This window comes from Homo sapiens, chromosome 10, assembly GCF_000001405.40.
Source record: "Homo sapiens chromosome 10, GRCh38.p14 Primary Assembly".
NCBI classification, from domain to species: domain Eukaryota; kingdom Metazoa; phylum Chordata; class Mammalia; order Primates; family Hominidae; genus Homo; species Homo sapiens.
This window is the reverse complement of record NC_000010.11, coordinates 8,646,660-8,672,640: the sequence shown is the minus strand read 5'-3', so window position 1 is coordinate 8,672,640 and position 25,981 is coordinate 8,646,660. Positions and strand designations below refer to the sequence as shown.

At 36.1% G+C, this 25,981-nt stretch overlaps 1 long non-coding RNA gene and 1 pseudogene across 1 annotated transcript, besides 1 other annotated feature; both read left to right on the top strand.

The window, feature by feature from the left end:
* The first annotated feature begins 2,840 nt into the window (after positions 1-2,840).
* On the top strand, positions 2,841-15,510 carry LOC105376400 (uncharacterized). Its single transcript, XR_001747277.2, has 3 exons — positions 2,841-2,938; positions 13,425-13,526; positions 15,393-15,510. It is a non-coding gene; the product is annotated as an uncharacterized LOC105376400 (long non-coding RNA).
* RNA5SP299 (RNA, 5S ribosomal pseudogene 299) lies at positions 15,810-15,925 on the top strand (annotated as a pseudogene).
* Positions 15,846-17,045: an enhancer, noted in NCBI's record as "BRD4-independent group 4 enhancer chr10:8697559-8698758 (GRCh37/hg19 assembly coordinates)". NCBI's record gives its function as "activates an origin of replication core promoter dependent on BRD2, P300/CBP, MED14 and CDK7 cofactors, and independent of BRD4, by STARR-seq in HCT116 cells {active_cell/tissue: HCT116}" and the evidence as "EXISTENCE:reporter gene assay evidence [ECO:0000049][PMID:35650434]".

The following is a 25,981-nucleotide window of genomic DNA, read 5'->3' as shown; positions in this document are numbered from 1 at the left end:
ATCCTGACTCCCAGCCTGAGGGCATTACGAGGGGCTCTGGGAGGTGATTAGGTCATGAGGGTGGAGCCCTCATGAATGGGATTAGTGCCCTTATAAAAGAGGCATCAGAGAGATCGTTTGCTCCTTCTGCCATGTGAAAACATAGCAATGGATGACTATCAAGGTATAAGAAAGTGAGTAAGGCCATGTTGAATCCTCCAGCCCCAGGTGAACTGTCCCAGGTGACAGCAATGGAGGAGAGGGGCCTAGCTGTCTCAGCCATCCTACCTGGCACTTTGGACACTGTAGGGCAGAGCTAAGCCATTCCTGCTAAGCCCCTTTCAAATGCTTCACTTATAAAATAGCAACAACAACAACAAAATTGTTGTTTTAAGCCAGTAATTTTGGGATGTTTTGTACACAGCAATAAACAATGGATGCAGAAGTCGATGCAAAGAGGTGATGTGCTGTCATAACAAAATCTAGAATATGTGCCCTTGGCTTTAGGAGTGGGGAGCAGAGACACCAGAAAGCAGCAACGGACTGTTTCCTAGAGCCTGGAAAGGTAGTGAGAAAATTGCTTTGGAGGCTGGAAAAACAACAACCCGTGTTATGTAGTGGCAGAAAAATTAGTGAAACTGCTGCCCACATTAACTTAGACAGGAAAGGTATCCTAAAATCTGTACATTTGGATAAAAGGATTCCAAGAAGGATGGTAAAAGTGTCATTTGTCTTCTTTTAGCTGAATATAAGGTATTGTAAGACAGAAATAAGGCTAAAGAAGGAACTGCTTAGGGTCCTTTTTAAAATCAGAATTTAATGGGAATATAGAATGCTCAGAAAGTCTCTTCAGTTAGCAAAAGACCTTCAAGGAAAGAAACAAATAGAAGCCTGCCAATAAAACTTGGCCTTGGGGTCAATATTAAATCAAAGATGAAGCTGGAAGTTCTCTTATAAAGACCTCAGAGTGACCTAAGTCAGTGATTCATAGTTGCTCTTGTCTGGACAAAAGGCTTCTAAGAATCTTAAGGGCATTATCGCATGTCATCCCAGCTCACAGCCAATGTAAGGAAGTGCCTGTCTAGAAGAGGTTTATGACCATAATTGTGACACTTATAATTATGTTTGTGACAAATAATCTAACATATCTGATCATAATTTGATATATAGGAAGTCCACAACATTTTAAAGGAGATTTTTAGTGGATAAACTAAGAAACAACAAGAAGGTTCCATGAAAGATGAATATAAGGGCATTAAAATATTTATGTGTAAACATTTTAATTTACTAAACTAACATAGCAGATAAAGTCACATAATCAAATGTGGAGACATATTACAAATATACTTTTCCCTGTTTTGAAGTTTCTAAGAAATATCTTCTGTCCCTCATAAATAATTATTTAAACATTTATTAAATTAAATATGAAAATTCTATGCATATTTAATAGCTGTGTGTACACATCTGCATGTATCTATCTATCTATCTATCTATCTATATATATATATGTATATTTATGTCTGCACCTGAGTTAGCCTATCTTTTGTTATTATGAAACTATCAGCTGGGTGAGAGAGTAGGAGGAGGGTGGATGACAAAAGATTACTTTAGGGGAACAATGTACATTATTTGGGTGATGGAAACCCTAAAAGCCTCGACTTTACCACCATGCAACCTATGCCTGTAGCAAAATTACACTGGTACCTCATACATTTATACAAATAAAAATAAATAAATAAATACAAGCTAAAAGAAGAAAGAAAATATAAGCTCTTTGATAATAGTAAGAAAATAATCGACCTATTTGGAATGAAGACTTCATTTATACAAAGCATATTAGTGGTTCCATACTAACAAGTTAACATAACGACACTGTTTCTTTCTCTGACTGCTGTAACTTGCTATATTAGCGACTAGTCATCATTTAAAAGACTATGTAGTGACACCAGGTAAACAGAAAGTAAAAAGTTGATATAAAGGTCAGCCATTATGAGCATTACCTGTTGAGCCATTTGTGGTTTATTCTCAATAGTGTCAACACAGAACTGGAATGTTATGCTTACAACATGATCCCCTATCTGTCATCTATTTGACATAGACATGCTGGTTTTAAATAATACCTTGAGCTTTACTTAAAAAAAAAAAACCAAAAATTTCAATGACCATGTCTAATTTCCAAAATGGTATTTCTATTCATTTGACAATTCCCTTCAGATAATCTGATCAAGATAACTACATAACAGCATTTTAAATTTCCAAGGTACAAACATACCTCCTTCAGCTTCACTTGTTTATGTACTTATGATATTCACACACATATTAAATGATCTTATAAGGCAGTTTATTTATATTCTTGTTATCCATGAATACACATATTACATGGAAGTGCTGAACCCTGTCCTTTGGATTCAGTAACAGGGAAGTTTCAATCTGCATTGTTCAGTTTCTGTAAGTTTCTGTAGTTTGTGAATGGAGTGGGGGGCACCTCCATGTTTGCAAATGCACACATTTGTGAAAAGGAGAAAGTGATTAGGGGAATGAAGAAGAAATATTTTCTACTAGGAGGCTGTTATACTTTACTTTTTAAGCTATTCCAGCCATATTGGACTCAAATCAGTTCCAACTTTTGAAGTTCATCATCATTCATCTCCCTAGGGGATATGAAAGTGCCAGCATTTGTTAAATTCCTTTTTGTGTGATGCCACTGCTGTTCCCTTATTCGATTCTATTGCCTGTCAGAAACATTTTGTAAGCTAATTGGAACACCCTGTTATTCTAAATCAACTGAAACTTCTCAGTTTATATTTCAATTCCATTTCTAGGCAAGCCTCTGCTAGCCCCTGGTTTCCTTCTCTTCTAGGAACACATGATTTTCTCTTCCTGAAGCATGGGACCGATATTGTAGCTTACCCTCCAGGGCAGGATAATTTGCTCATTGTGGATTAGTTGCCTTCAGCAGGTAAGTCTCACCTGGGTCACATCCTTTAAGGGTATATCCATGGATAGAATTGCCTGAAAACTTTCACTGGAATGTGCAAAATTCTGCCCTGGCTTGTCTTGCTTTATGTTGCACTTTCTTTCCAGAGCTAATTTTCACTCAAAAGCCAACACTATTATTAGTGAATCTGAAACTTCTTTGCTTTTTATTTCATTCTTTTTAGTTTTTCTCGTCGTCAGACAAGTTGTGCCCAGAGGAAAGTAGACTGTCATTATAGAAATCTTTGACCCCATTATTGCACAAAATCTCTAAAGAAGTTTGACTTAATCTGTCCAGCCTAATTTCTACATTTGGTGAATAAACTGGATAATTAATAAATAAGTGTGTATGGTGGGATAGGAGGAGTGTTTTGGTGTGGCATAGAATGTACCTTAAAGAAGACACCCAACAAAATATAAAGTATTTGCCCATCTATTGTCCAGCTTAATATCATTTACTCCATATGGGGACTAAAGTTTATTGTAGAGAATTTGTTGCAGTCTAGCACATCTTGGCATTGAAAAACATTATCTTTTAATCAATAATAGCAGTAAGAAATTGGTATTATTATAAATGCCCCCTCTTCATATTTAGTTAATAATGTTTACCTTGAAGTCCATGGTATATTGAAGCACATACATAAACTCTGCTTATGGCTTCAGGAGATACATGAATTGCTTGAAATTAAATGCATATGTTTGCACATATGTGCATTTTGGGGGGAAAAGTTGTCAAAGTTCTTATGCTATTCTCAAAAGAAACTCTGACTCTTCCAAAATATAATAATAACTCATACTTTAGGTTAACTGTTTTTTGAAAGATATTGAAAATATAGATGCAACATGATAGTTTAAAAATGATTAAAGATCATACTGGGTTTTCCTTTTTATTAACTCTACATAATGGTCTGTGGCTTTGCCTCCATATTAATTTCCCATATTCATTCATCATTTAATCATCACAAAGAATCATTATACAACTGAATCTTATGTGCCGTGCTTTTTTTTTAGACGGAGTCTTGCTCTGTTGTCCTGTTGAAGTTGCTGTATTTTTCCTCTATCCTGATTAGACTCTGATATGGTTAGGCTTTGTGTTCCCACCCAAAATCTCATCTTGAATTGTAATCCAAAAGTAATCTCCACATGTTGGGGATGGGACCTCGTGGGAGGTGATTAGATCGTGAGGGTCGTTCCCCCATAGCTGTTCTTGTGATGGTGAGTGAGTTTTCATGAGATCTGATGGTTTCATAAGGGATTTTTTTCCCCTTTGCTCTGCACTCATTCTCTTTCCTGCTGCCCTATGAAGAGGTGCCTTCCACCATGATTATAAGTTTCCTGAGGCCTCCCCAGCCATGCAGAACTGTGAATCATTTAAACCTGTTTTCTTTATAAATTACACAGTCTCGGGTATTTCTTCATAGCAGCATGAGAACAGACTTATAAAGACCCAGGCCCAGTTTTGTCTGGGTTTGGTTATAAAAGACATTGTAGCTTCCATCTAGTCACACATTCTCTGATCACTGGCTGGTAGGGAAGTTAGCTGCCATGACCTGAGCAGCAATTCCAGAGGGCCACGTACTGAGGCGCCAAAGCCTCCAGTCAACAGCCACATGAGGGTGCTTGGGAGTGCATCCTCCAGCCCAGTCAAGCCTTCACATGAGACAGCAGCCCCAGCTGACATCTTGACTGCAGCCACTTGAGAACCCCTGACCCAGAACCACAGAGCTAAGCTGCTCACAGATTCCTGACATCTGAAACTAAAGTAGACAATAAAAATTTGAGGTTTTAAGCCACTAAATTTTGGGATAATTTATTATATAGCAATAAATAACTAACCCACTTGGCTTAAGGCTTTTTAAAAGCAAATCACATTATTTTTAATACATGATCTTTACAATGAAATTTGTCATCTAGAATTTTGATAAGTCAATAGAACACATTTATTCCACAACATGGTAAAATTGTGACTTGGGAAGCATATGGAACACAATGTAAAGATCACAGGCTCTGTGAAATCACTATCAAAGTGTGGCTAGGGGACAGTTGTTTTACCCCTCTGAGCTTTAGTCTCTCAAAATGTGAGTAATGCCATCTACCTCAAGCAGCCATTGGTGTGAATTAAATTGATTAATGAAGGTAAAGAACTTAATAAGGTGTTTGGCAAATACTAGACACCCTTAAAATTGATGCAACAAAACTCTAATTCACATTAAAAAACAGAGCAATTCATTGCAGTATGCTTAAAAATAATTACATCTGAAGCATATATTCTTGTGGATTCACCTTCCAGGCATGTTATTCCAAGAACCTAATCCCTGCACTCTGTTAACTGCTGCTTTATTTCACTATTATTCCCACTAGACAGTTAGCTTCATTAGAACGGATATTACATTCCTCTATTCATGATTACAGCCTCGACACCTACAACAATATCTAACATATGATAACCTAATAATACTAGCTGTTAAATAAATGAGGGCTCTATGACATAGAACAATATTCCTGAAGAAATTTTAATGACAACTATTCATGGAACTGAATTTAAAATATCTCAGCTTTAAAAATATTTGTAATATGGCTGGACACAGTGGCTCACACCTGTAATCCCAGCACTTTGGGAGGCCAAGGCAGGAGGATCACTTGAGGTCAGGAGTTCAAGATCAATATGGCCAACATGGTGAAACCCTATCTCTCCTAAAAGTACAAAAGTTGGTGTGGTGGAGCATGCCTGTAGTCTCAGCTACTCAAGAGGCTGAAGCAGGAGAATCACTTAAACTGGGGAGGCGGAGGCTGCAGTGAGCTGAGATTGCACCACTGCACTCCAGCCTGAGTGACAGGGCAAGACTCCATCTCTCTCTCTCTCTATATATATATGTGTGTGTGTGTGTGTGTGTGTGTGTGTGTGTGTGTGTGTGTAATACCATCATATTCTGTAATTAATAGTGAATGCTGCTAAAAGTATACTTTATAATCATTATGGTATTAAAATGCAAGAATACTATGTCCTTTAAGAGTGTCAGACTTCTTTCCATAATAAGCAACAATTTAAGAAACTTTCTGTGGTATACTGTTCACATTTTTAAATTCTTTAGCCCTTGAAAACGAAGTTGGGCATTTTTCTAATCAATAACTTTTGTTGCAATAATTACTGATACTTATAACATAATACCTTTTTAAGTTGAAAATTTCTTTTTTCACCGCTGGTTATGAAGTATGTGGCTAATGATGTCACCTCTTTCATCACATGGAATTTAACACATTCAAAGTCAAGGACAATGTGTTCCATATTTTTAATGAAATGAGGGTGTCTTCATTAAAAGGCAAATCCTTCATTTCAAAAATCTGAATGATTCTTAAAATAGAATGCCAGGTGGCTAAATTTAGGTGCTGAAGAAAGTCTAATTCAGGAAGGCTTTCTGGCACCATTCCCAAAACTTTTTCATTTGATTATGGATTGAATATATTTTCATTCATTTCAAACTCTTGCCTCTCTGTATGTTATTCTGAGTTAGGCAAACTAATGTTGGTGGGCAAACTGGCCTCAAAAAACTATGCCACTCTGCTTAAATGATCTATTTGTTGACATACTGAAAAGATGGCCTTATGCTTTATAGTTATCAAGGTCACATGTGTCCCTGGTAAATTGTACATAGGTGCTGTGCTTCATAATAAATGGAGATCCCTGAATTACAACAGGTAAGCCACAATCCGCAGAGACTGTAATGGCTGGGAAGTACAAACCACATAGACCTCTCGGCTATGCCTTGATAAGTCTTTCAGTTCTTGTTTTTATTTTTCTTTTGTTGATTTTGTTTTTGCCATGTTTGTCTTACTTTTTTAAATATTTCTTGTGCATCTTCATCCTAGCTTAGCTTAAATATAATTGTTAAATGAAGTTTACTTTTTTACTAGTCCTCACCATAAATTCATGGATCATTTTATTATTCAGACTTTTTCTTTTTTTCAAAAAAAAAAACACCATTTCTTCTTATTTTTGTACAAATTTGGGCATAGTCAGAAACTCTGCTGACTCTCTCTTCCCATTTAACCTAATCTTACCATAGCACTCCTCACCCTATGACTTGCCCATTGCAGTAAACCAGAAAGCAAAAAAAGGTCAAGCACGTGTGTTTGAGATCCAACTCTAGTGTTTGTAGCAGCTCTGCAGAACCACAGTTTGCACATCTGTAAATTGTGCAATAACAACTGCCCTGCCTGTTTCACAGGGTTGCTTAAAGAGTTATATGAGCTATTGCATGTGAAAGTGTTCCATAAGCTGCCATTTGCTCTGAAGCTCACGGGTATAATTATTCTAGTCTAACCTACTTATGTTTGCCCTCTTTTCTGCAGTTGCATCTTTGTGCATAAAGATTCTCTCTCCAACCTGTGCAATTGATTCATCTTTAAAGACCAACTCAAATTCGACCTTCTAAAAGAAATCTTCTCTGACCTTCCAACTCTAAACTAGAGTAATTTACTAACTGTATTTATCACTTTCAAATTCTTCATTAGGTCTTGAATCATAGAATATTGTTACCCATTGGCATTTATCATCCCTGCCAACAAGACAGTGGGTTCCATGTGTTAGACTTCGTGTCCCATTGCTCCTTGCATCTCAAATGCACATCCCCCAGGTCTCTTGCACATGTCTGTGTGAGGGGCAGAAACACACTGTATGTTCATTTCGCTTAGCTCTTCCTCTCACCACTGCTAGCTTCTCCCTGGACACCATGACTGATGATCCTCTTTCCCTCTCCCTCTCCAAGACTTGTGATATGAGACACATCCTTGTGACACATGCAAATATTGAGAATTAACTTCAGTAATTTAAAATCTTTAATGTAAAGTTTCTGTTAAAATATTTATGTTAAATATAAAACTCTAAATTTCTAAGTTAAATTTGTAATTTTTATTTTTCAGAATTTATCTATATCTACTCAAAATGAATTACTCTAGACAATGATCAAAAAAGAATACATTTTCCCATAGAACTGATGAACTGAATTATGTTTTTAAAAAACAGGCCCAGGCACAACTTGAAAGACAAACCCTAATCCAAACTTAGGTGGAGATTCTGCTAAAAAGTGTTTACCAACAAATGCAGTTGATTTTCAGGTCCTTAAAATATTTTTCAAGCCAAATATTTGATTGACATTGACGGAGAATGTAGCTTACTCTACCAAAGCGTTAGCATCAGATAGAGCTCCACTTAGACTGTGAGTGAAGAGGTTGAGAAGGATGGCAGTTTGCTGAAGTTTGACAATGTTGTCCTAGGATTCATCTTCCTTTATTCACTTTTAAATAGTTAACTGACAATAGACCTAGGTGTAATCACATCATGAAAAATTAAAAAAAAAACTTGCCACTGAGTTATTAATTATCTTCTAAGCATCTATTTTGTAGCCAAAGAAAACTGTTACAATAACTTTTTGACATTTTTGTAAACATCTTCTGAACAAACCTGTTGATTTTGCCACTCAAGAATTGAACAAGGCCAGGCGCAGTGGCTCAAGCCTGTAATCCCAGCACTTTGGGAGGCCAAGGCAGGTGAATCATCTCAGCTCAGGAGTTAGATACCAGCCTGGGCAACATGGCGAAACCCAGTCTCTACCAAAAATACAAAAAATTAGCCAGGCCTGGTGGCACACACCTGTAGTCCCAGCTATACAGAAGGCTGAGGTGGGAGGATCACTTGAACCTGGGAGGCAGAGGTTGCAGTGAGCCGAGATCATGCTACTGCACTCCAACCTAGGTGACAGAGTGAGACTCCATCTCAAAAGAAACAAAATGACAACAACAAAAAACTTACTCCCCACTACAAACTTAAAATATTATCTTTGAGAAAAATTAAAAAAAAAAGAATTGAACAAGCACACTATACTTCACCTTCTTGGTGTAAGATCTCTTGCTAATCACAAAATTATGCAAGTTATTTTTGATAGTAATTTATCTATCTGCTCCTCAAATTATATGTTCTCAAAATATTCCATTAACATAAGTTTGTATAAAGTGCCTTGTTCAAGTTTGCACAATCCAAGCAAAGTTCACAAAACACTTTACAAACTTTGTTTAATTAAACACAATACCACACCTTTGCTTTAAATGTAACAATCGTAATTTCTTGCAGACAATTTTTAATGAGTTTGCACTTTGCTATACCCCTCATATATTTTCCTCTCCTTCCAGGCACAGGTGATGAAATTGTGATCAACATTATGAAATTGGATCACAATTATGTCTTTAATCAAAACAAACCAAGCCTTATGCCATAGGTGTGGAAATCCATTTTGCTATGCTATCCAATTGCAGTCGTATTTTGTAATCAGTGCTTTTGGCCAAACTCATGGTGTAAATTATCTGGAAAAATGAGAAGACGTGTTCTGTCTCATGCTGTTGTCAGGTATGTTTCATATTTAGGCATAAACAGTGAGAGAAATTAAAATTTCACAACAGTTGAGTCATTTCTGCCACTATGAACACTTGTAGTTTATTTGTAGTTTCTCATGATTTTTATTAATAGCAAAGCTGTTGTATGGTTTGGGATCATTTTTGCACTTAAATGATTACACTCTCACCATGTTGCCCATGCTTATTTCAGTCAGTACTAAGCAATAATTCAATTGCTTTTCCCAGAGAGCAACTCAAAGCTCACATACTGATTGAATAACCGTTCTGCAAAAAGCGAGGAGTTACATGGGGAAAATACCATAGTATAAGACATGATCACAAAGTTACTGATATCTTACGCATCTCACATCTAAAATGAAAGTTTCCCTATTTTAATTAATACCTACGAGGTGTAAGAGTTTGATACCCTAAATGCTCCCAACCGAGACATCCTTCTCAAAACTCTGTGCAGAGGTGTCTAAAAACCTATCAGAAAGCCAAATGTTTCTCTTTCCTTTACAATGACTTTGAGGAGATGATGTCTTAAGATGAATTTAGGATGATATCTAGCTAAGTGGAAGGAGTTCCTAACAGTCCAGCAGAATTTTCCAAGTTTCTACATTCAAGTACTTGAACATATTGGAGAGAAATCTCTACCACATGATAAAAACAACATGGAGAAAATGTTTTAAGGTTATGGTCAACTTAGCCATACCTATTTTTTCCAGCCTTTGTTTCCTACACTGATATATTGCTCTCTAAATCTTTGAGGAAAAGGTATTACATGAAATTAAAATAATTAATATCCATAAAATAATTATCAACATTTTAATTCAGCATATCCAACTGAAGTTCCCACGTGTGTAAATACATCTTCTGAACACCATTATGGAAATAGTCAATCACTGGTGCTGATATAAAAAAAAGATTGACATTTTATATGGATTTTTCTCCTACTTTATTCTGCAGCTCTTTCTAGTCTAGAAAATATATCTATTAGTACACAATCTTTTAAATTGCATTCTTAGTTTAATAATAATCACAAATTAATGGTGTGTAGTCACGTGTCCACTCTCTTGGAGGGAAATAACCATATGCTTCAATAACTAAAACTTCTAGTTCCACAAACTAATTAAAAGGCCTTGTGGCACAGTAATCAGAGAAACAGGTGTTTCATTTAGTTTCTCTCCCTTCAAGGTTGAATAGTTGCCATTCAAACTTCCCTGCGATTCCTTTAAAGTCAAAGGAAGTCACATAGTCCTATACTGCCTATCAGAGGACAATATCCTCCTGTCCCGCCCCAGGATTTGGCAGAATATAAATCAAGAAGAGAAAGAAAACAGTTTTATAGCACAATATGTTAAATTATGAGTGAGATTTTTCACAGCAGATTTTGGGAAATTTAGCTCCTCAAAAGAAAAAAAGTTCCAATCCTGTTTTCTTTTCTCTTTGATGTATTGTGTGTGTGTGTGTGTGTGTGTGTGTGTGTGTGTGTGTATGTGTGTGTATATGTATGTGTGTATGTATGTATGTGTGTCTATGTATATATGTGTGCACGTGTGTGTGTATATATATACACACACATATATGTATATACATAGGTTGATTCCATATCTTTGCTATTGTGAATAGTGCTGCAATAAACATACAAGAGCAAGTATCTTTTTGATGTAATGACTTATTTTCCTTTGGGTGTATGCCCAGGAGTGGGATTGCCAGATTTAATGGTAGTTCTATTTTTAGTTCTTTGAGAAATCTCCATACTTTTTTCCATAGAGGTTGAACTAATTTGCATTCCCTCCAACAATGTATAAGCCTTTCCTTTTCTCCACATCCTCACCAACATCTGTTGTTTTTGACTTTTCAGTAATAACCACTGTGACTGCTGTAAGATGGTACCTTATTGTGGTTTTATTTATATATATATATATATAAATTTATATATAATTTGTACATATACACATAAGTACACAGACACATATATATTAAAAACCCGAATACATATGTGTATATATACATATACACGCATATACATAGACATACACACATATATACACATATACACACACATATATACATATATGAAGAGATGTGGCCCTCTCTAAGAGATAGAGTCCATTCTTCTCCCAAATGTAATTGGCTAATCAAAACCACACCTCCTAAGACCTGTTCTTGTGAGTACAGGGTGCATTACATACGTTTTTATAATACACACAGCAACTTTGGAAGGCTTCAGCCTCATTCCTGCTATTATTTAAACTCTGACATATCGCAATAAAACATTTCAGCAGGCACTCCAGTTCAGGGAATGATAGGCATCAACACTGTATTGGTAATGCAAAATAAATGGATCGGGGTTGAAAATAATGAGTTTGGTGGATTACATCTGTCACCGTGAATTATTATTGTTGAACATAATAGGGCAAAGCGCTACAAAAATAAAGCTTGTCTTCTCTAGTTAAAGGTGAGACAACTACCTCTAATGAGATACAGAAATTCAAGTGTGAGTTATTAATTATGCACACAAAAGGTTTATCTGCTTGCTCAATCTTAATTTTTTATGTATATTACTACAGAACAAAAGGTCCCCGTTGCTAAAACTGGTGATAGTTCATAGTGCTTTCTTGCCAGAAACCAGAGAAGACATTAGGTTTGGCCACATTTGACCATGCATAAAGAATAAAAAGATAAAAACTTGGATATGTGGCGAGGCACCAGCAACAGCAGACCCTGATTCAGGCACTGATTCTTCCGCCAGCCTCCTCTGTCATAAAAGCTTCCTACTTCTGGAATTCAGGTTCATTGTCCGTAAAAGTAAGGCCTTGAACTGAACTGTCTTCAACTCCAGCTTCAAAACATTTCTGGACTCTACATAAAATGAGTATGTGTATCATTGGGTTATAATTGGGATAACTTGATAGCTTTTTTTTTGTAAGCAGAAAGCTTGAAGGAGAACTTATTTGAGTAATAATCTAAGTTGCTTCTCTTAATAAGGTCCCTGTTAGTGAGTAAAGAGGATGTCCACTGTTCAAAAGAAAGCCCTCAATAGAATATTTTATTTCTCTAGGCAATGTTGCCTAATCAGAGCCGAGGAAGCACTGCTAGGTGTGACTGTATCTTTTACAAAAATGTGATCACATTACTTTGTTTGCTTAGCAAATTGTTATAAACGTTACCATGTATTTAACAGTTCTGTAATATGACTACAATATGAAATTTTATATCCCATGACATGGTTTGTCATCATTTGTTGAACTTTTTTATTGTTAGACATTCAAATTTTTTCCAGTTTTCTAAATATCCCTAAAATGAATATCCTTGCACCTGCCTCTTTATGCATATATCTGATTCTTCCATTGAAATGGAATTGTAGGATTAGAATGTAATATTTTGTAATTTGCAACAAGAAAATGTAATTGTTGTTTTCTCCCTGGATGAGAAGAGTTCCTCTGGTACAATGCAGTTCTAGTATATGAATCTGCTGTGTGGACCTACTCAGAGGTGCATCAGAAAAGTTCAACAGCCATTGAAAAAGGACTGTGGTTTCTTAGAAATGAACCAGGTTGTAATGTTTATAAGGGAGCCAGAAAGTATTTGAAACATTTATGTACCAACTACAAATAACCAGTATTGAGGAGCTGTCAGAATGGCAGAAGAAATGCGCAGTGGCTCATGCCTGTAATCCCAGCACTTTGGGAGGCTGAAGCTGGCAGATTTGAGGTCAGGAGTTCAAGACCCGCCTGGCCAACATGGAGAAAACCTGTCTCTACTAAAAATTCAAAAATTAGCCAGTCATGGTGGCACACATCTGTAATCCCAGCTACTCAGGAGGCTGAAGCAGGAGAATCATTTGAACCTGGGAGGCAGAGGTTGCATGCAGTGAGCCGAGATCGCACCACTGCACTCCAGCCTGGGCGACGGAGCGAGACTCCGTCTGAAAAAGAAAAGAAAAGAAAAGAAATACACATGGAGGAAAGTAGAGACAATCAGGTAGAAAAGTAGAAATACTTGTACCTTGGTGGGAAATATAAAATCATGGAATCTAAGAATCTAACTTTTTCTCTTTCTGCTGCTGCTCATAGATGAAAACTCCTGAAAACAATGGAAATCAAGGAGTCAGAATGAACGTCAATGCCATTGTTTTCAATAAGCCTCACAAATCAAGCATGGAAAAGAGATTGCTGGTGAGTGATTATAAATGTGATGTAAAGAGGAACTATTGAAAAGTGAAAAAAGCTTTTTGGAAGAGTTTTTCGTGCTAAGGTTCTCAGAAGCTTTGAAGCCTTTCATAGCTTTTTCTGCTTCCCAATATAGTTTGATAACTAGGTAACATGTGGAGTAATTTTTCTCAAATCATAGAGAAAATCTGGGTTCCACTAAGGAGGTAGTGAGCAGTTATAAAGTAGCAAGTAAGTAGTGTAATTTTATAACTAAACCAATTGTATTTATGTCTTCAAATTGTAATCAAAATTATAACCTGAAATATGTATAACACTTACATTAATACTACTTATATTAAGTTATGCAAATTAAGTTGTAGTTTATAGGTGGAAAAGCATGTTCTAATTCATCACATGGACAGGTGTACCTAACTGAAGACTTGCTGCTGGGCCAATGATCTCATCATATCTTGTGGTTGTACCATGGTAATACATGTGGATAAAACAACAACAACAATGTATTGGCTAAAATAAAATAAATTGCATTTACATCATTAACATTTAGTTTTATTTATTTATTTTTTTAACAAGAGAAACTTTCCTATTACAACAGAAGAAATGTGAAAAGATTAGGCGTGAATATTACTCCAATGCTGAAATGGAAGAGATCCCCAGAAAAACTGTCTCTTCATGTGACTCAATGATATGGCTACAAGTTTCTTGTTTAGAGCTAAGTTTACAGGGACTTATTATTTTCAGTCTCATAGATCAAAGAAAAATAAGGTTCTAGGTGGAAGAAAGTCAAAGGATAGGACTCTTGACTAACCTCGACTTCATTCAGTTTTTTAAAAAAATTAAACACTCTTCCTCCTCCTCTCTCTAAAAGAAAAAGAAACCCTCAAAACCGTATCATTGCTATGAATTCACAGATAACCTCTGAAGCCAGAATAATACTCCTTGTCCACAATAAATCCTATATATTTTTTTCAATATACTCACCTCATCACCCCACACCCCTCCACACACACAAACACAATCACAGCTATTATGTGCCACCATCCCACATTCTTAGCAAAAAAAAAATCTGGAAAGAAAAAGCAAGTAGACACAAGAAATATACGTTAGACGGGAGTAGAGGTCTGGGGAAAAGCTCAGATTCCCTCACTACAATTTTGCACATCTTGAGACAATGGTGCAGTACTTAGGGTGTTCTGAAGGAAGGAAAGTTTAAGGGAAAGGAAGAATTATCAAGCCAAATTGTCTTTTAAAAATAAAGATAATAGCAGATATGCTTACATAAGAATATGCCCAGGGGCGCCTTAGAGCCCTTTTGGATATAAACTAGGTGATTAAACATTGCTAAGCAAAAACAGTCAAAACAAGAAATACAAAAAACACAAAGCAAGAAAAGACTAGATATTTTAAAGTTAAAAAAAAGTTCTTGAGACTAAACCCCTGGGAAAATTTTTATTGCACACCAAGATATAAATGTTTTATATATATATAACATTTATATGTATATATCTGCATAAGTATTATACATATATCTATGCATCTATATATAATGTAACTCAGTGTAGTAAAATAATGTAAGCAATGAAATTACAAAGTCATTTATAGAAGATGGTCAATTGGTGTACTTTAAAACTGAAACAGATAATTTTAACATATCATGATCTTAATGTTGTATATTTATTTTTCATTTTTAAATGATATTATGGGTACTGATATCCTTTGTGAAATGAATCCTACTTTTAGAAATTTATTTATCCAATTCAATTACAGTAAAATTAAATACTTAACTATTTTGAAAATAGCATGCATACTATGATCCATTGATATAAAATTATTTCTCAGTATCTACTGATCTACTTCTCCTCCTTTGTCAAGGTTTATAATATTTACATTCTGTTCTGCAACAATCATTCCCCTAGCTGCAGAGAGAGCCGCAATAATGTTCATCAAGCATCATTGCTGCATAATTCAGTGTGGTAAGATTTGTGGTGATTTGTTATTTCTTTCTTTGTATTTTCTACTATTGTTTTGTTAAGAAATCATGAACAAATGTATTTTTTATAAAAGAAGGAAATAATTTTTAAAAAAAAAATGAGAAAAGATTCACATCTCAATAACAAGTTGCAGATGTATTTAAATAAGGGCTTCATATTTGTGATTATAATTTACTTCTGTATGTATTGTGATACCGGTAGCACCAATGAATGTAGAAGGTACTGGAAGACCTACAGGAGCAACTAAATGAGCCTTGAGAAGCCGTAGGTGTTGAAGATGGGTTTTGAAGGGCGAAGAGTCTATAGCCACAGCACTGTGAATGTACTCAATCTCTAGTCTCAGAAGCTAAGCAGGATCCAGCCCGGTTAGTACTTGGATGGAAGACCACCTGGGAATACTGGATGCAATGGGCTAAAAAATAAGAATAAATGAATAAAGACTAAGACTGAAGAGAATCTTTTTGCATGACTGAGAAGAGGAAGACATAGGAGGACAATATTACTGTCTGTGCAAAGAGCAAGAGGGGAGATCCACAGGAGGAGTCCACACAACTGTGAATTGGTGCAGCAGCACCGAAGGGAAGGCAAGTATGACTCAGAATCCTAAAAAATGAGGAAAGAGAGACCCACACCTCGATGTCATGGGGCTCCCAGTCTAGTGAATGACACACGTCAACAGGCAAGTATGTCCAATGAGATAAGCCCTCTGACCGGAAAAAAATGGGATGCTTATGGGAATGTGTAAAAAGGTCCCCTCATCCTATTGTGAGGTCAAGAGAGGCCTCCTGGAAGAAGAGACATGTAAGCCAAACTTAAGAACCAGGAGAAATTAGTGACAAAACAGAGCAGAAAAATTCTTTTCACTATGGGTAAAAAGAATAGGAGAAGACAAACCCAGAGCAGAGCATGGGGGATTGCCAGGCCCAGACAGGGAGCGTGTGACTGAGTCATGAAGCGTGCTCGGAAGTGTAGCTCCCTCCTCACTCAGAACTGGCAGTCCGGCTGTGGGCCTAAGGTTTCTCCACGCAGGCCAAATTCTCTCCCTTCTTGGTGCACTTCCAAAAGAGGCTGAGGTCAACTCTCCTACCCCTTTTATTTAGAGCCTATCTTCCCCGTTGACCTAGAAAAATGGTGACAAACTTTATAGGTGTTGTTTCTTCCAGGAGACGTACAGGGTCTTCATACATGGCCTGACCTAACTCCCAGAGTTCCCAAGAGAGGTATGCAGACTGGTACCCTGATTGTGACATTAGTCACAGCCCTTCCCATATTTTGCCTTACAGATCTTATTTCTCCCTCTCTCCTCTCATAGGTTACTTGAGGACATGGCATTTCCTCTCCCTCTTTTTGTATAAATTTAGGGAATACAAGTGGAGTTTTGTTACCTGGATGAAAGAGGTGAAGTTCGGGTCTTTAGTGTAATTCTCACCTGAATAATGTACATTGTATCCATTAAGTAATTTCTCATCCCTCATGCCCAGTCTCCCACCCTTCCAAGTCTCCAGTGTCTATTATTCTACTCTCTATGTCCATGTGAACACATTATTTATCTCCCACTTATAAGTGAGAACATGCAATACTTTACCTTCTGCTTCGGAGTTATTTCACTTAAAATAATGACTTCTAGTTCCATTCACATTGATGCAAGAGACAGGATTTCATTTATTTTTATGGATGAGTAGTATTCCATGGTGTGTGTGTGTGTGTTTGTGTGTGTGTGTGTGTGTGTGTGTGTGTGTATCACATTTTCTTTATCCAATCATCCATTGATGGACTGGTAGGTTGATTCCATATCTTTGCTGTTGTAAATACTGCTGCAGTAAACATACAAGAGCAGGTATCTTTTTGATATAATGATTTGTTTTCCTTTCGGTGTATGCCCAGGAGTGGGATTGCCAGATTTAATGGTAGTTCTATTTTTAGTTCTTTGAGAAATGTCCGTTATGTTTTCCATAGAGGCTGAACTGTTTACATTCCCTCCAACAATGTATAAGCCTTTCCTTTTCTCCACAACCTCACCAATATCTGTTGTTTTTGGCTTTTTAATAATAGCCACTCTGACTGGTGTAAGATGGTGCCTCATTGTGGTCTTAATTTGCATTTCTGTGATGTCAGTGATGTTGAGCATTTTTTCATATGTTTGTTGGTCATTTGTATGTCTTCTTTTGAAAAAGTCTGTTCATGTTCTTTGCCCACTTTTTAATGGGGTTATTTGTTTTATTGCTGTTGTTGAGTTATTGAGGAGTTCATTGTAGATTCTGAATATTAGGCCCTCATCAGAGGAATAGTTTGCAAATATTTTCTCCCATTCTGCAGGTTCTTTGTTCACTCTGCTGATTATTTCTTTTACTGTGCAGAAGCTTTTTAGTTTAATTAAGTCCTAATCGTCTATTTTTGTTTCTGTTGAATCTACTTTTGAGGTCTTATTCATGAATTATTTGCCTAGGCCAATGTCTAGAAGCGTTTTTCCTGGGTTTTCTTCTAGTGTTTTTGTAGTTCCAGGCCTTATATTTAAGTCTTTAATCCATCTTGAGTTAATTTTTATATATGGTGAAAGATAGGAGTCCAGTTTCTCTTTGTATATGGCATTTTCTTATTCATAGGACCTTGATCCCAGTGAGTTCTAAATAGATGTTTGTTACTTGTCATTCAAGACTTGTGGCAAGCAAAAAGTTCAGATATATATACTTTTCAATACAAGGAATTTACATACCTCTTAATGTTAATACTTGCAGGTAGTAATCATATTTATTTCAGCTCTATTTATTCCAAAACATAAATAACATTATCCGTTTGTGGTAAATGCACTTAAATGTTCATGAAGTCATAAGCTATTTAACTGCAGTAAGCTTTTCATCATACACTTCTCTTGAGTAATACATATGTTCCTGAACTTCTTTCCAAAGTTGTAGAAACAGAACTAGACAGACTTGAGGCAAGTCTGAGTTTCTTGGTTTTATCCATTGGTAACATGCAGTGCGATCTAGTGTCATGCTTCCTTACATTTGGAGATAGTGTTACCTGATTGCCAGGAATAGATCTCAACTAAGTCATTTCTCATTCATAGAGACAAGGCAGGTGAATTCTCTTCAAATTAGGCCATCTAAAAAGGTATATGTTATTTCAATATTAATTTAATAACAAGCTACCCACAGTAATTACCTCTTTAGTTTCACATGAGTAACTTTCCTTGTCTGGACTTGGACTAATGAGTACATTAAATCTGCTACAAAGACAATCTACTCAGTGTAGTACTAAAGACAAGGTGGAAGGAAGGAGCTTTTCTGGATAGTTTTATCCTGAAAAGATCAGCACAGGAGTGTGGCACTGAGAACACACTGTATCCTCGAATGGAAAGCCTACAATAGGCAGCAATGTTATACATTTATTTAGAACTATATATGTATCAAAGAGTTTTCACATACACCATTTCACTCAATTCACTCATCAAAAGGTCAGAAGGCATCCAAATAACCCTCTAGGTGCATCACACAGCATTTATGTTCTGCATATGAAAAAAAAATCTTACATGAGTTTTGTCTGCCTTAACAAGGGAAGAGAACTAGCAAATGAAAAATACAAAATCATCCTCTTGCCAATTTCTACATAAAGGCACCATTTCCTTCAGTTATCTTACAAAATACCACAAATGGGCAATTCAACCCAATTATTTCCTTGGGATAAAGAAATAAAGTATTGACAAATAAATGCATTACTACTATCTTGACTACAAGGTATTTGAATTAGGGAATATAAAGAACCATTCTTCTTTGACTCAGTTCCATCAATGGGTTTAACATTTGCTGAAAGAAATCTTTATTGAGTCGTGTTTATGTAGTAGAGATAGCACTTCACAGAGACCATTTATACCCATCAAAAGGTGGCTGCCATGATTCTCAGAATAAATCTCTTTGTCTTACCAAAACATCTAATCATAAATTTTTTCAAATAGGAAACCATTTGAGTATCAAATTCTAAGACTTTAGGGGAAGAAGTTTTCTAGATGGCAATATCTTTTTCAGAAAGTTCTCATTTGGCCAGGCTCATGTGGTGGTTCTCGTCTGTAATCCTGGCACTTTGGGAGGATGAGGCAAGAGGATTGCTTGAATCCCAAGTTTGAGCCTGGGCAACATAGCAAGACCCTCTCTTGCTATTTTTCTTAAAAATAAAGAGAGAAACACAGTTCTTACTTGTGCTTCATCTGAAATGGGAAGTACCATAGAAAGAAATGCCATAACAAATGCACAGGCCAATCATTCACGCTGTGAAAGAACACTATGTGGTTTGCTGCCTATTTGCAGGGAGCAGTTCTTCACTAGTGATATAAAGACTCGATTGCAAAACTTGGCTCCAGATGTTGGGCTCAGCCTCCAGGTCTAATGTGGTGGGAACTTTATCAATCAAATCCCTGTACCGAGCACAGGCACGAAGCCATAGCTATGTTGCATAGCTGAGGTGTTCTTTAAAAACAAAATTTAAAAAAATGCAAACATCAAGCCCCATGGGCACCTGGGTAATCTTCAGGTGCGCTGTGCCCCTCCCCTGGGTGTGAGCCTCTGGTTTCATTCCTTCCTGAGGCATCGTTTTATCTCTAGCTCATCTTTCATCAGTGCCTGTCAGTGGAATATCACAATTCCAGACTGGGAAAACAATTCTTTTGGAGCTAGGGAAATACAAAAAGATTTTAGTCATGGAAATCCCCTCTACTTTAAACCAATATTTTATTCATGTTTGGAAAATACCACTTTGTTGTTGTTTCCATTCTAATCTGCTTCAGTATTTCCTGTTTTAATTCCAAAACCAAATGTATGACAAACCAGGAGGGTCTTGGGCCAATTCCAAATCAATAAAACCAGAAAGTAACCACCAACTAACCAAATTACTGCTCATGCCGGATTTTGTGCAGAATTTTAAAAGGTGGACATAAAGTGCATAAGACAATCAAACTCAGAGTTTCAGATATGACGTGTATCAAAGTCAACCAGAGAGAGCCCAGTCCTTTCTATATGGTGGGTGACATTTATATGTAATCTGAGGGCGATGATGAATGTATCATAGGGAAATATTTTGTTGATTATGACATAAAAGAGAGAGAAGAAATTGCCTTTCTGACTTGCGTATCTACTTTTTCTTTCTTTGTTTCTTCCCCCTTTACTTTGTAATTGGAGAAAATGTTGGTCAAGTTTGAATTGGTGGAGCCAAAAATTCATTCTAGCCCTGCGATTCTGTAAGTCTGTAATAACAATAATCATAGAATTAGAGAATTTTCTTTAAATAGAAGGAGACTGCACTCAACATTCATTTATTAGGCATCTATTCTGGGGGAGGGGGACTAGCCCGACCCCATTTTACAAACATAAGAAGTGATCTGTAGACTTGATGATTGCTCTGAGATCACTCAGCCAACGAGTCTCAGAGTCAGGCTTCTTGAATCCAAGGCAGATCTTTTCACTCTGGGCCAAGCCTATTACTCTCTCACAGTCTCCTAACCATATCACATCCAGGGTCAATATGCAGACATGATAAAAAAATCATCCATATACTATTTGATATTTTCGGGGGGATCATTTGTAAATAAACAAACAAATTGCCTAATTGCTAGCCTGGACTAGGGACAGAGATAAGTTTAAAAAAAGAAAGCTATGAACCACAAACACTGTTATTAAAATTGGAACCAGGAAACATGACCCATTAAACTGTCAATTAAATAAATTATCAAATCAAATAACAAGATCTTTGTCTGCAGATGATGGTAGGGAAAAGGCTGAAAGGAAAACTGGCAAATACATGTTCTTCTTAAGGCAATTGAGAGCTAGGCCCTGAAATTATGAGAATTTGCAAAAACTGTCTAAGAGAAATAGGATGCTCGTATATATACCCTTCTTTAGATTCATAATAATCTAACGACTTATGAAGAATTACTATATCACCAGTTAAACATCAAATGTATTTCCTTAAAATGAATGTGTTATTAATTGTATTTAATTTTCCAGGAAGAATGCAGAATATTATTATTAAACATCTTATGCATTTCATATATTTCCTGTTTATAAATTACTTTCCCAAATTATGTATCATGTTTCCCTTATTGTTCTCAAAATTCAGCATTACTATCTCACTTTTTTCTCATTTTCAGAGATTAAAGTTAAGAAAAATTAATAATCTGTGACAGAAGTTCTGCAATTTATAGCAACTCACACAAGAGCCTGCTGAAATACATTATTACCTCCCTTTAATATTCTGATGTGCCCAGCAGGAAAAATAGAGTCAACACCCACCTCCCCACAATGGCTTAAATAATTTACCAATGAACTAACAGCACATTTTTAATCCTACCCTTGTCTCCTAACATGCCAATTTTCCTTGTGTCAGTTTACATTTCTTCAGAAATGCAAACTCACTTTGAAATACACCTAATTGGAAAGGTAAGTGAGCTACTAATATTTTCATACTGCATTTAAAATCTAACTAAAAAGTCTTTTTAATTTTTCATGAAGATGTTCCATCCATAGCCATGGCTATTGACAAATTTATTGAAACATCAGAATACTCAGAAACAACTCATTGAACATATCACAGATTACAGCAGTTTTGGAAAACATGGAGAATAGAGGCCATATTTGAACAACATAGGTTTATCATGGGGTTCCACATTTCCATATATAGGTAGGGCAGGTTTCCACACATAGGTTTGAGGCACAGTAATAGGGAGAGAGCAATGAAAGTAAACAAATTTACCTTCATTTTACAAATTTACTTTCACTTTACAAAATAGGTGTTCCAGTCACCAATTTGAAGGCTTGAAGACCAATTCCAAAGCTTGCACTGGTCTTCAAGCCTTCAAGCTGGTGACTGGAACATCTATTTTGGACTCCAGAAACACTACTGCTAGTGACCCCTACAACCACACATTGAATTATACCATGCAGCTTTCCAGTTGTACAGCCTAATCCTTCCATGGGCCATAATAAAAATGCTACTCTGCCTTTAACTTTAGTGAAGTTAATTAATTTGTATTAATAAAAAATGCCTTGGCAAACCCAGATGAAAAGTTTCATATAGATGTAATCAACTACTTTTCTCCAGATAATTGCCACTTGGGCTGAGAAATTGAAAGCATGCCAGCTTAAAATGTTTTTAAAGACTTCGATCAACTTTCTCTCCCCAAATAAAGAACTAAAAGTCACAGGACAGACTGTAGGCTGCAGACTCCATTCTTAACATTGCCCAGCAACATATATTTATATTACCAGCATTTGTCCTCCAAATTTGACCTGGAGTTGGCCTCTGAATTGGTACAGGGAAGGAAAAGCACAGGGGCTGTAGAGCCCAGGAAAGCTAGAAACAAACTGTCTTCTTAAATTACCCAGATTTGTAACCAAGCCTAAAATAACACAGCCCTGCCAGCCTTCAGCCCTAAGATCTGACGCTCACTCTCAGAAATAATAAAACAATACTGTTGTCTTGGCCTTATTTGTTTTATTTCATTGTCTCTATGGCCATTTCCAAAGAAATGGATAAAAGCCCCTATTCCCTTTCTTAATTTGCTATAGAATCTTGTTTTAAAGTAAATGTATACTTACCAGAAGAAAACAATAAAGATTTTCTTTCAAGAAGCAGTGTTTGAACAGTTCTAGTAACTCACAGAATAATTTTGAATTAGTTAAATTTAAAAAAAAACTAAGCATGTATTTATTTAGAAAACTTTGAGTCATTAAAGTTTTAAAACACAACAACACAGGTGTGGAGAAGTAAAGATATTTGATAAGAGATTTTGTGTTTCTTTCACAGTAAGTAGCTTTGGGTTTCTGTCTATATTACTGGCTCATGCATGACCTACTTATTTCAGTAGTCAAATTGAATTGGATCATTCCGTTAATCAACATACAAAATGTACATAGCTTGACCCATTTGGTAATTTCATGTAGATATATCTTAATCTGTTTATTTTTTAAATCTGTTACTTGATTTAGTTAATATCTCTTATTACAAGGAGAATAAGATCAAAGCTACGTAACACTGGAGGCTTTAAATTATTCTATCCTAAGTATGCGTTGTGCAGGACGCCTTACATAGTGATGAGTTCATTTAATGGCATCATTTTTGTATTCAAGAACTAAAAAACTTTAGACAAGGCCCAGAAGAGATGAACCTTAGAAGAAATCTCACTTTCTAAAAAGTATAATAAAAAGCATATTAGGGAAAAAAAGCTGAAGCTAAGAATGATATTAACAGATACTAAATCATAAAGTGTTTTTTGCTGAATTGCTTAATAATCACAAATTATTTTATTATCTTGTAATAATTTAATAATCAATAGAACTAGGTATTTCAAATTGTGATAATGTTACTTGGCTCATAGGTAGGAAATTACTATTGAGTTAAAAAAAATCACCTTAAAACTATGCTATAGCAACATTAATAAAACAGTTTTTGGCTTATAAAAAACAGGCTCTTCTCCTAAAAATGCTGTGAAGAGAGGATTTTTCCCATTTCACAAATCCTGTGTTTAAAGAACCTACTCAAGGTCACCCAGCTAGGAAGAAAACCTTCCCGTTATATCTCTGCCTTTACACTTTTGAGATCTGTTCCCATAGCTACTTTTAAGTTTTGGGCTAATTTTTAGTGATCCTAAACATTTCTCATTTCCAGCCTCACACACCCATACGTCTTGGAGATAGGCACTCACTAGAGGCTTTGTGAACTTGCTTACTTGGGGAAATTACCTAACCTGCCTGTGTTTCAGATTTCTCCTCTGTAAATTAAAAATAATTATAAAACCTACCTCCTATGGTTGATAGGAAAAATTTTAAAAACTTACATATGTCAAGATCTTAGTAAGTCAACAAGGGTTAGCAATGGAGGAAAGAGCAAATCACAGGAAAATATCACCCTTGTAACTTTCCAATTTCCGCCATTTTTCTCCCTGGATTTGGCATGCCCCTCACAGAATCTGCCGTGCATGCAGTGCTTGCAAAGAAAAGGAAACCTTGGTTGACCTTGAGCAAGGGGTCAACAATTAACTGATCCAGAAGTGATAACCTTATGTAGGGACAGCCAATCCTCAAAGTGGGTTGGTATCTACTGAGGCAGTTTTGCATAATAATAATGATGGTAATCATTAGACCAGTTGGCCTCTGTCATTTAAATGAGAAAACAGGGTGAGTAAGCCAGGTGATGGACGAATAAACCATTGGGGATAAAAGCATGGGTTTTTAAGTTGAAGAAACCTAGAATCAAATTTGGTTCTGCCTAGCTGGGGTCCTTTGGGATGAACGGATTCATTCATCCAGCTGAGCCTCAGTTTCCTCCCACATTCCCACTACCCAGCCCTAATTCAAGCCACTCTCTGCCCACCTAATTGGGCTCCATGTTTCCTGCCTAGAGTTCCCCAAACCCATCGCTCACACTGCCCTGGAACAGTGTGGCCAGATAAAATACAGGAAGTCTGGTTAAATTTGAAATTCAGATAAATAACAAACAATATTTAATACTGTATAGGTATGTTTCATGCTGAAACGTTACTCCTTATTTATCTAACATTCAAACTTGGACGAGTACCATGGCTCACATCTGTAATCCCAGTACTTTGGGAGGCCAAAGCAGGAGGATGGCTTGAGACCAGGAGTTTGAGACCAGCCTGGGCAAGACAGTAAGACCTTATCTCTAAAACAAGAAAAAAAAAATCAAACTTAAGTGAGCATCCCATTCTTTTATATTTTACTATAAGAAAATTTTATATCTTATAGTAAAATATAAAAGATATAAAGAATTTTATACTTTATAGTAAAAGCATATCACAACTATATACCAGAGTTACATTACATGCAGAAAATATAAATCTGGTCAGGGTATTCCCATCTTAAATTTTCAAATGGCATCCTATAAGTATTCAATTCAAATGGCATCCTATAGGTATTCAATTCATGCTTTTATCTATAAATACATTTCACAAATGTCTTCATGATACCACCATTTTCTCTCTGACATCATGTTCCATCTCTTTCTACCATCTCATTTTCCTACTTATGTGACTGTTTCTTTGCTTAAGTTTTTCACTTCATCCAGAAAGCCTTAACTAATTAATGTATCTCTTACTCATCTCAAACACACCATCCACTCCCAGCTGTCCATTAACGTGGCTAGATTAAGTGTCTCTTCTTTATACTCCTAGAGTATATATATGACCTAGAGTCATATATATATTTGTACTAAACATATATGTGTGTGTATGTGTGTGTTTGCGTGTATTATGCTAGGAGTAATATATATATATATATATAGATAAATAGATAGATAGATCACTCTTTTGCCACCAATCTACTTCACAAGAACATACATATTTTTTTAGAACAGAGGCTGTTTTCTTTACGTTTGTATCTGTAACTCCTAAAACAGTAACTGACATTTAATACATATTTGTGGTACTAAACTGTACTCATGCACATGGCTCCTAATTATTCTCCGCCT